General features: G+C 49.7%; 1 protein-coding gene across 5 annotated transcripts in view, besides 1 other annotated feature; it reads left to right on the top strand.

The window, feature by feature from the left end:
• The window catches only part of MIDEAS (mitotic deacetylase associated SANT domain protein), a 75,164-nt gene that overhangs the window by 5,439 nt on the left and 58,563 nt on the right, over nt 1-11,162 (top strand). The window lies entirely within an intron of this gene.
• Nucleotides 9,383-9,941: an enhancer, noted in NCBI's record as "H3K4me1 hESC enhancer chr14:74241609-74242167 (GRCh37/hg19 assembly coordinates)". NCBI's record gives its function as "activates a minimal SCP1, AML or CMV promoter by ChIP-STARR-seq in primed H9 embryonic stem cells {active_cell/tissue: H9 hESC(primed)}" and the evidence as "EXISTENCE:reporter gene assay evidence [ECO:0000049][PMID:30033119]".

Genomic DNA, 11,162 nt, shown 5'->3' with positions numbered 1-11,162 from the left:
TGTAAAATCAGGACAGTTCTGGAAAGTCTGGCATGTATGGTTACAGTTGCCACAGGGGAATGAGGTTTGAGCAAAAGCAGCACTATGGTAGGAGTCACCACAGGTTGCACAACCCTCTTTTCTAGAGACATTTGGTTTTTACTGATCTTGACTGTGAAGGTCCTGGTTAGCTGGATCACCTGACCAGGACTGCCATAATGAAGGCCTGCTGGTGCCTGGCTGTAGTCTTGAGGGGCAGGAGAAGGGATCGTTCCCTTCTGATCCCAAAGCTTTGAGTTTGCAGTGCTTTGTGTTCGTGTAGAATTTACAGAGACTAAAAGTGCCCCAAAAGCCCTCCAGAGTGTAGCTGGGAGAGTGGAGGGGAGGGGCCTCTTGTAAAGGCCAGAGAAAGAAGGAAGCCAGGCTCCAGGGAGCTGCGGGAGCCACATGCAGGCCCCTCACCTTCAGTTCCCAATGGCAGATTTTTGTGCATAACTCAGGCCCTTTCCCTGGCTTGCTCAGCTTTGCCTCTGCATTCAGGGAGCTTGCCCCGAAGTTGTTACACAGAGACAGAATCATAACCCTGACTTCCTCCTTCACCTTACCTAAATGGTGGTTTTAACTTGAAGTTGCTGCCTAGTTCACGGCTCCTGAGCAGCCCTGGCTGCTGCCTCGCCATGCACAATTAGGAACAACAGTGAAAAAGCGCTGATTCAAAACTTGACAAGAGATTTTAAAACCAGTTTTATTGTTCTAAGAGGAAAAAATATTGGAGGTAATTAGGCAACCCAGCAACTCTGGCGGAAACCCCGAGGTGCCACTGAGAGAAGCCAATGCAGGAGTCTCCTGGAGAGGGTGGTCTTCAAAGGGAGGCTGCCCAGGCCCAGTATTGCTATTTCCATTAATCTGCCCCTTCCTAGCTGCCCCACTTCCTATACCACAACCCAGTGTTTTGACATCACAACCCACCTCCAAAAAAGGAGGCCGAACACCCCCAGCTAAAGAGGGCATTCTAGTCGCTTAAGAACACGCTACAGTTTTCCAGACACCACGGCTGGCAGTTCTGTCCTGCAGATTTGTTTCCTTCTTTAAAATGTGCCCCTCTTCATTTCTTGTTCTCACTGAAGCATCTCTTTGTGAGCCCCTTAAACCTTCTTCTTTCTCGTCTGCATGACACAGGGCAAACGCTTTACGACTTTCTGTCTCAAGTGCCACTTGAAATACACACAGGGCTTTGAATAAGCTTCGGATAAAGGCCTGCTCTGTAATCTCACTTAAAATGCCTCTTTGCAAGGGTCACCTTCCTGCTCAGCAACCTTCAATGGCTCCCCACTGTCTGCATGGTAAGGATCAAACTTCTAGGCCGGCAGTTAGGGCCCTTCTCCACAGGGGTCTGACCTTTGCTCCTCTCCCGTCCTAACCCTCGGCTCTGACCCGGTGACCCACTCTGTGTGTTTGTCCAAACCACTGATGGCAAGAATTCCTACCTCCCATGCTTCCCCAGAGGACTGGAATGCCTCTTTCCTCTCATCCGCTTGGCTCAGTCCTGCTCCCCTTCCAGTCCTGTTTGTGTCCTCCTCCTTGAGAATTTCTCCCTGTCCCACCCTGTGGGCCTCCCCCGGGACTCCAGCAACATCACCCTGGGCCCTGTGCTGAGGAAAACCTTGAGTCCTGGTCTAAGAATTTTCACTTTCTCTTTTGGGCCATGACTTTGATCATATCCCCTGTTCAGCAAATTAAATGAGCCTTTGGGTGAATAAATACTACAATTCTTCAACTAAACTGGAAGCCCTGTTTTATATATCTTTGTATCCCCAGGTCTGGTGCCCCACTCATAGCAAGTCTCAATAAATGTTTTGTGATGCTGATACAAAGAGCAGTGGCCATCAGATTTCGTCCACTTGGACACCCAAGCCAAGCACCAAAGGCCGTGGTTCCTGGTCTCAATTCTGAGCATTAAGCCAAGCCTGCCTCCTCTGCCTGTTAGCTGCCCTCAGGCTCCTCCTGGCTTTGCACCTCATTGTTTTGCTCCATTTCCAGCATCTCTTTCCTGACTGTCAGTATCTTCCCAGCTTTGGCCCTGGCTCCTTTTGTCCCAGTCAGCCTGCCCTGTGATGCCCTACACCTCTGCTCTGGCTCTGAGGTGAGATAGTTTGTTACTTGGGTTGGCCTGACCTTCTGAGGAACCAATCTGATAGAAGGAGGTAGGACCAACTTGCAGGCAAGACTTGTGAAGACAGCCAGGTGCGGTGGCTTATGCCAATAATCCCAGCACTTTGGGAGGCTGAGGCGGAAGGATCACTTGAGCCTAGAAGTTCAAGACCAGCCTAGGCAATGTGGCAAGACCCCTTCTCTGTAAAAAAATGCAAAAAATTAGTCAGGCACGGTGGCACGTGCCTGTAGTCCCAGTTACTTGGGAGGCTGAGGTAGGAGGATTGCATGCCACTGCACTCCAGCTTGGGTGACAGAGATTCTCTCTCTCTCTTCATATATCTATATATATATATAGACTGTGAGGAGGGCAAAGTGAGGCTTCCTGGTTGGCCGCATGCTTGTTTTGCCCAAATAGGTGTTGAACTTACAAAACCAGGCTAAACTATAAAACTGAGTTTTGGGGAGATCCTGGCTGAACCCTAGCATTGGACTTGGCTAGGAGGACTGTGTTGCCTTTAGCCAGTCCTCATGCTGTTAATCACAACCTTGCCTCATAAGCCAGATTCTTTCTTTTTTGAAAAATAATTCACATACTATAAAATGCACGTATAAGCTAGATTCTTTTAACGTTTTGTTTTATTTAAAAATAGAATCTGGTAGATTCCTGTTTTTTACTCTACCCAGGCTGGAGTGAAGTGGTGTGATCTTGGCTCACTGCAACCTCCGCACCCCAGGTTCAAGCGATTCTCCTGCCTCAGCTTCCTGAGTAGCTGGGATTATGGATGTCTGCCACCACGCCCGTCTAATTTTTGTGTTTTTAGTAAAGACAAGGTTTCCCCATGTTGGCCAGGCTGGTCTTGAACCCTTGACTTCGGGTGATCCACCCGCCTTGGCCTCCCTAACCTCAAAAAGTGTTGAGATTACAGGCGTGCGCCACCGTGTCTGGCCTGAAGTCAGTTTTTTTTTTTTTTTTTTTTTTGAGACAGAGTTTCGCTCTTGTTGCCCAGGCTGGAGTGCAATGGCACGATCTTGGCTCACCATAATCTCTGCCTGCCGGGTTCAAGTGATTCTACTACCTCGGCCTCCCGAGTAGCTGGGATTACAGGCATGCGCCACCACACCTGGCTAATTTTGTATTTTTAGTAGAGACAGGGTTTCTCCATGTTGGTCAGGCTGGTCTCGAACTCCCAACTTCAGGTGATCTGCCCTCCTCCGCCTCCCAAAGTGCTGGGATTACAGGCATGAGCCACCGCGGCTGGCCTGAAGTCAGTTTTAATTGAAAGTTCTTAATAAACATAAAAGGGTGAAACTGGGATTTACATATTTCTGAAAAGTTATGTATAAACTGAGTTTAATAAATCAACATTTTTTCAGATGTGCTATTTTACAAAATAATCAACTTTTAGAATTGGATAGGATCTTACGGACTGTTATCATCCAGCCCCAGTTTTATAGTAACTGTAGTAACAGCATCTCCGATAATCCCATGGTTAAGGATTTAAAGCTTGGAAGGAAACCTGTGCTAACTCTCATTTTAACTGAGGCTTAGAGAGGATAAGTTCCTTCTCCAAGTTCCCACAGCTGTTGAATGGAAGAGTCAGGCACAAACCCCATTCTCCATTTCCACTGGCCATCCTGCATTGATAATTAGTCATCATAATCGTCAGTTTCAGCAGGTCTATTTGTAAACCAAGGACTCCATCTTCTCAGTTTCCCTAAGGCAGTACTCAAAGATTTAAAAAGGTGAAACTTAACAACAACAACAACAACAAAAAAACAAAAAAAACTAGGGGTGAAGAAGAGGTCTTTAAGAAGAGAGTGGGATGCGTATTTAATAGCTTTTACCATTGTATTATCTCATTGTAGTCTTAGTGGATCTTAATTGCTATCAAAGCCCCCAAAGTTTCCTACCCAGGCTCAGTTGGCCAACAAGATTACTTACTGTTTTCTAAGTGCAGAACATGGGTTAAACAACACCAAGAAGACAGAGGAATGCTCCCAGTTCCCAAGACACAGGCAGGAGAAGGCCCAGGAACACAGGCATGGCACTCTTTGAACAGCCAGTTAATGCAGGGCCAACTGTCCTCACCGGCCATTTGTGGAACAGCTGCAGTGCTGTCAACCATGTGAGTGTGGAAAGCAGAGTGCCACATGCTCCTTACCCCCAGGAGGCTTCAAGCCTAGCTCCTGAGATAGGTCATACCCATGCATGAGTGAGTGAAAGAATGAAGAACCCGAGGAATAGTCCCTTATAAACCATGACGGGGAAGGTCACTACTGTTACGGCTATGGCCACTTTTCTTTTTCTCCATAACTGGGGAAGTCAGATCCTAAATGCTTGTGGTCAGCACAGCTTCCATGGAGAGATGGTGGAAGAAATCCTGACCCTTTCCATCACCTCTAGAGCAAGTGGAAGAGGGTGGGATGGGGGAAGAACTGAGAGTGGATCTGTCACTGGGAGAGTATAATTTGATGGAGTGGCGTTTTCTGAGGTTCAGATTCTAAAGTCAGTGTGTAATATGAAATATAAAAATATAATCGGCCGGGCGCGGTGGCTCACGCCTGTAATCGCAGCACTTTGGGAGGCCGAGGCTGGTGGATCATGAGGTCGGGAGATGGAGACCATCCTGGCTAACACGGTGAAACCCCATCTCTACTAAAAAATACAAAAAAATTAGCTGGGCGTGGTGGCAGGCACCTGTAGTCCCAGCTACTCGGGAGGCTGAGTCGGGAGAATGGTGTGAACCCGGGAGGAGGAGCTTGCAGTGAGCTGAGATGGTGCCACTGCACTCCAGCCTGGGCAACAGAGCAAGACTCTGTCTCAAAAAAAAATAATAGGCCGGGCGCGGTGGCTCACGCCTGTAATCCCAGCACTTTGGAAGGCCGAGGCGGGTGGATCATGAGGTCAGGAGATCGAGACCATCCTGGCTAACAAGGTGAAACCCCGTCTCTACTAAAAATACAAAAAATTAGCCGGGCGCGGTGGCGGGCGCCTGTAGTCCCAGCTACTCGGGAGGCTGAGGCAGGAGAATGGCGTGAACCCGGGAAGCGGAGCTTGCAGTGAGCCGAGATTGCGCCACTGCAGTCCGCAGTCCAGCCTGGGCGACAGAGCGAGACTCCGTCTCAAAAAAAAAAAAAAATAATAATAATAATAATAAACAAATTAAAAAAAAATAAAAGAATGTAATCAAGATTAACCTTGATTATATATTAGGAGGGCACCAGGTAGGCAACAGACACACTGGCTCTTGATGCGTCAATTCACCTTAGCCTGCTCCTTTAGTTCTGGAAGAAGTTGCACTTTTTTTTTTTTTTTTTTGAGATGGAATCGTGCTCTGTCGTCCAGGCTGGAGTGCAGTGGTGCAATCTAGGCTCACTGCAACCTCCGTCTCCCGGGTTCAAGTGATTCTCCTCCCTCACCCTCCTGAGTAGCTGGGACTACAGGCACCCGCCACCACACCCGGCTAATTTTTTAATTGTTTTATTTTTAGTAGACACAGGGTTTCACCATGTTGGCCAGGCTGGTCTCGAACTCCTAACCTCAAGTACTCCACCTGCCTCAGCCTCCCAAAGAGCTGGGATTACAGGCATGCGCCAACCATGCCCGGCTATTTCTTCTTGTTCTATTTTGTTTTTTTGTTTGTTTGTTTTCCTTTTCCTCCTACCTCCCTAACTTCCTCCTTCCTCCTGTCTTCCTTTGTCTTCTGTCTTCTGCTAAGCTTGACCATTTGAATTTGCATAAGTTAAATGAACATGTGAACAGATTCCATTGTCCTGTGTCTCATGAGAAGGTCATGGGTGCTGTAAGTTAGGAAATCATCATATGAGATTAAGCATGAAAGGCTCTTAGACTAAATGGGCAGAGTGCGATGGAGAGGAGATCCATGGAGTAGGTTTTAAACTGCAGTTATATCATCCAGGATTGCAGATGAAAAACTTGTGCTTGGGTTGACCCAGCCCTGGTGTGGGGCTGGGAGAGGGCAGTGCCCATGTGCAGCAGACACTTTACAGTAAGGGCCTAGCCCTCCATGTCCCCTCCTCAGCCTCCCCATTGCAGGCCACTATAAGAAGCTTGCAAGGAATCGACCAGCAAGATGTGTCTGCTTCCTCTGTGGCCTCCCCATAGCACATGCTCTGGAACAACTTAGAAGCCAATAGCCACTCGGTGACCCCCTCTTCCACTTGCACTAGAGGTGGTGGAAAGGCTCAACAAGATTTCTTCTACCATCTCTCCAAGGAGGCTGTGCTGACACGTGGCATTTAGGATCTGACTTCTCCAGTTATGGAGGAAAAGAAAAGTAGCTGTAACCACAACAGTCGTGACCTTCCCCATCACGTTTTTTTTTTTTTTGAGACAGAGTCTCGCTCTGTCGCCCAGGCTGGAGTGCAGTGGCGCAATCTCAGCTCACTGCAACCTCCGCCTCCCAGGTTCAAGTGATTCTCCTGTTCTCCTGCCTCAGCCTCCAGAGTAGCTGGGATTACAGGTGTGTGCTGCCGCACCCGGCTAATTTTTGTATTTTTAGTAGAAACGGGGTTGCACTATGTTGGCCAGGCTGCTCCTGAACTCCTGACCTCAGGTGATCCACCTGCCTCGGCCTCCCAAAGTGCTGGGATTACAGGTGTGAGCCACCACGCCTGGCCCCTATCATGGTTTATAAGGTGCGTTCTGTCAGGTTCTTCATTCTTTCACTCACTCATGCATTTATTGAGCCCTTACTGTGTACTTGGCTCTGTGCTTGGTACTGGGGATACAAAGATAAAGAAGCTTCAGGTCCCCACTTTAAGGTGCTCATGGTCTGTGAGGGAGACAAACATCTACAAAAGTCAAGAGCAGTTAAGCTCTGCAGGTATCAATGTCAAGGTGTTCAGGGGGCTCCTGCGCTCAGAGGAGAGGACTGGCCACTTCTACCACGGCCAGGAGAGAGAGGCATGTCAGGAAAGGTTTAGGAAAACCCCAGTGCCTTGCACAGTACTTGTGCCTGGTGAGTGCTGTGGAATTAACGAATGAGAGGCGTCCTGGAGAAGCTGTTTGAGCTGAGTGCTGAGAAACGAGTAGGCATCCACCAGGTGGCAAAAGGAGTCAGGGCATTCTAGGTACAGGGAGCAGCTCAGACAAGGCCTGGAGGCACAACATGACACCATTTGCTCTGGGGACTGCAAGTGGTGGGGCAGTGGAGCACGGCTGAGAGGGGTGCAGAAAGGGGCAGGCAGGGCCGGGCCATGGGCCAGAGGAGCCCGTGTGCAGGTAGAAGGAGATGCTGGCATAGCTCAGGTCTTAGGTTGGCCCACAGCAGAAGCTAACTGTAGCTAAATTGAGGAGAAAAGAAATGTATTGGAAGGCTATCTGGTGGCTCACTGAATGTCCGAGAAGGTTGGAGAATGAGGCTCAGAAATTGATCAGGACTTGTGGAAAGTTGGGTGGCTGGAACCAAAGCCATGGTGACGATGCTGCTGACCTGGCATCACTGCTGCCAGCAGACCTGGATGCTGCCACCCCTTCCAGAATGGGTACTGAACTCTCCCCACTTTTTTGTGCCACTCGCTCCAGAGGCAAAGGCTAGGCTGCGCATGTGGTTGGCCCTGCTTAGGTCATGTTCTTGCTGTTATGGTTCTGAACTTTTATTTATTTATTTATTTATTTTTTTTGAGACAGTCTTGCTCTGTTGCCCAGGCTGGAGTGCAGTGGCGTGATCTCGGCTCACTGCAACCTCCGCCTCCCGGGTTCAAACTATTCTGTGCCTCAGCGTCCCGAGTAGCTGGGACTACAGGCACCCGCCACCACGCCAGGCTAATGTTTGTGTTTTTAGTAGAGATGGGGTTTCACCGTCTTGGCCAGGCTGGTCTTGAACTCCTGACCTTGTGATCCACCCGCCTCGGCCTCCCAAAGTGCAGGGGTTACAGGCGTGAGCCTGAGGCTGATGTTACGGTTCTGAAGAGCAAGGCTCTGGAGGCTGCAGCCTCCCCAGCAGAGTGGAACTCTGCCTCCTCTCAGGACTCACAACCACAGGTGCCTGAAACCAGGGGAGGGCTGCATATGCCAGGTGGACAGGTGTCTCTCATAGAGCTTGGAGCCCATTCTAGCCTTCAAACTGGGATGATGGGGCTGTTCTGGATGTGGGAAGAGGAGACAGGGCATCCCTCTTGGGCCACTGAAAACATCCACATCTTTTTTTTTTTTTTTTTTGTAATTTAAACAGAGATGGGGTTTTGCCATGTTGCCCAGGCTGGTCTTGAATTCCCGGGCTTAAGCCAGCCTCCCACCCTGGCCTCCCAAAATGTTGGGATGACAGGCATGAGCCACCATACCTGGCCAACATCCACATCTTGAGCTTAATCTGTTTGGACATCCTTCTGAATCCTTAGCCTCCCGCTGAGCTTTAGGAATGTTATGTGCCCAGAAGATCTGAGTGTTTCATTAGTAATTGGAATTCTCCTCTGGAATCTGACCATCCCAGTGGAAAAGGGAGATCATCCCGGCATCTGGATCCTCCCTGCACATTTGATTCCACTTGGAAAACTTTGGTGCTGCCTTTCGAGGACAGAGGCCGAGGGTTGGCTCTCTCCAACAGGCAGTTACAGCTTGAATTCTGCTTCTTCCCCAAGGTTGGGTGAGACTCTTGGGGCCACAGGGTGTTTGCGAGGTGCCACTTTGCTTTTCAGACTAGAAGTTGGAGTTCTGGTTTCAGGCTTGGTTTGTGGAACAGTTGAGGCGCCTGGTGTCTAAGCTGCCCAGGTGATCTCTCCAGTTCTAAAGATGTCACCCTGGTTGAGATGTTCTACCCTATCTCCTTTCTGAGAGCGCTAAAGGAGCTACAGCTTTGTTTGCCTGGGGCTGTCAGCATCACCTGTCACATCCTGCCCAGTTTCCTCATCCAGAAAAAACAAGAGGTGTCAGATAAGGTGAGCTCCAGCTCCCGTCTTGCCCTCAGATCTTCTGGGTATAACTCTTTGAAGCAAGGGCACCTTGACTGGAATCTTGGTCATTCAGTTCCATTAATCTTAGACAAAGGAATTAATTTTCCTTAAAAGGAAAAATGCAGTTTTGAACTTACTGGCTGTTTTATGCCAGTGTTCCAAGACTTCCCTGGGAAAGCGGGAAGCTGCTGCCCCCAGGAAGCTGGGAGTGTCATGAGCTGGGCTCTGGACTGGAAGCGATTCCTGATCCTGAGGCTTGGATCGCTTAGATGCATGGCCTGGTTGGCTCCCCGAGGGAGGGAGCAGGGGCCTTCCTAGTTCCTGGCCAGTGTTGGTTCTGGCCTAGTTTACACTGAACTTGCCTACTTTTGTCCAGATGAAATGAAATTGTGCTAAAAGCAGCATTAAAGTGGAAAAGAAGTCTTGAAGAACCTGAATTATTTTACTAAAACACAGCTTTGGTCATATCACCCCCTCTTAATCTTTGAGAACTGCCCAAGTTCTGCAGAAGGAGCTCCACACTCCTCAGAATGGCACATGTACTCTTGTTTGAGCCCTGGCCCACCTTTCTGGCCTTTTTCTTACCACTACCCCTTCCCTAGCATGGCCCTTTTTGTTCCAGCCGGCCTCTTGCTGCTCCTGGACGCACTTCTCTCGCCTTGTTATATGCTCTTGGCCTTTGCTTATTGTTGTCTCTTCCATCTGGAATGCCCTCTCTGGCCTTTTCCTCCTGGCAGATGCCCACAGGGCCAGCCAGGAGTCACCTGCTCCATGCTGCCTTCCTGAGTTGCCACCATGGCATTTCTGCAATTGAACTTCCCCCCTGCAGGATGCTGGGGTCAGTTGCAGGAGTGCCTGGCTCCCCACCACCTTGGATCTGTGGCTGGCACACAGTAGGTGCTCTGTGACAGGAACGAGAAGGGCCACCTGAGGGGCTGTGAGGGAGCATCGGGCAGGCCCAGGACCTGGCCTATGTCTGGTGGACTGTGTGCTTGGTGAGCTGGCTGTCTGCATGACATCCCCAGCCTCCCTTAGTGCTTGCTGGTGGGGCTGCCACCTTGGTGTCTCTGCTATTTGCTTGGGCCTGTCAGCAAGACCCTGGTGAGAGTAGGAAGGGGATTTGGGGGTATAAAACCTGTATCGGGGCCCCACTCACCCTGAGGAAGCCTTTGAGGGGACACTGAGGAGATGTCTGTGGTGAGGAGCTGGTTTAGAGGTGGCAGAAGCATCTCTTCCTACTGGCCCTCCTTGAAGAAGGATAAATATTAATACCAGCTGCCATTAGAGGATCCTTTCGTTTCTCATGCTCAGCACTGTCTTTTGGCTTCACACAGAGACAGAGCTGGGGAAAGCAAGTCTGCAGACCATAGTAGCAGAGACTGGGGCTCTTTAAAATGAAAGTCCTGTCCCACCTGGTCATGAGGCAGTCAGGACAGGCTGTGGCACTTCCTGTTCCTGCGAGGAAGAATGCATCCTCCTGACAGTAATTGCAGGGTGCAGTGGGAGCCCCAAAGCAGGGATTGCAGTCTCCGTTTGTCTATGAAATGAGGGGATTAGACTACAGGGGTACCTTTCCTGTTCGAAAATTCCTGTGAATGGAGCCTGGCAGGCGGTGTCTTTATGGTGCCTCATAGTGGGACCCAGGGTTGTCACTCAGAGGCTTCCTGTCATTATCCCAGGTCTGCGTGCCACTCAGAGAGACCTGTGGAGGAGTGGCTTTCTCGCCATGGCTGATTAGTTGGACTTGCTTTTCTTTTTTCTTTTTTTTTTTTTTTTTGAGATTCAGTCTCACCCTGTCACCTAGGCTGGAGTGCAGTGGTGTGATATCAGCTCACTGCAGCCTCTGCCTCCCAGGTTCAAGTGATTGTCCTGCTTCAGCCTCCTAAGTAGCTGGGACTACAGGCGCCCACCACCATGCCCAGCTCATTTTTGTATTTCAGTAGAGACAGGGTTTTACCATATTGGCCAGGCTGGTCTCGAACTCGTGACCTCAAGTGATCCACCCGCCTCAGCCTCCCAAAGTGCTGAGATTACAGGCGTGAGCCATTGCGCCTGGCCTCTCTCTTTCTTTAAAGACTTTTCTTTCTTGAAGTTGAGCCACCCTTAGGGCTGAG

The sequence above is a fragment of the Homo sapiens genome, chromosome 14 (assembly GCF_000001405.40).
Source record: "Homo sapiens chromosome 14, GRCh38.p14 Primary Assembly".
Taxonomy (NCBI): domain Eukaryota; kingdom Metazoa; phylum Chordata; class Mammalia; order Primates; family Hominidae; genus Homo; species Homo sapiens.
The sequence above is the reverse complement of the archived record's forward strand: the minus strand, read 5'-3'. Positions and strand labels throughout refer to the sequence as shown.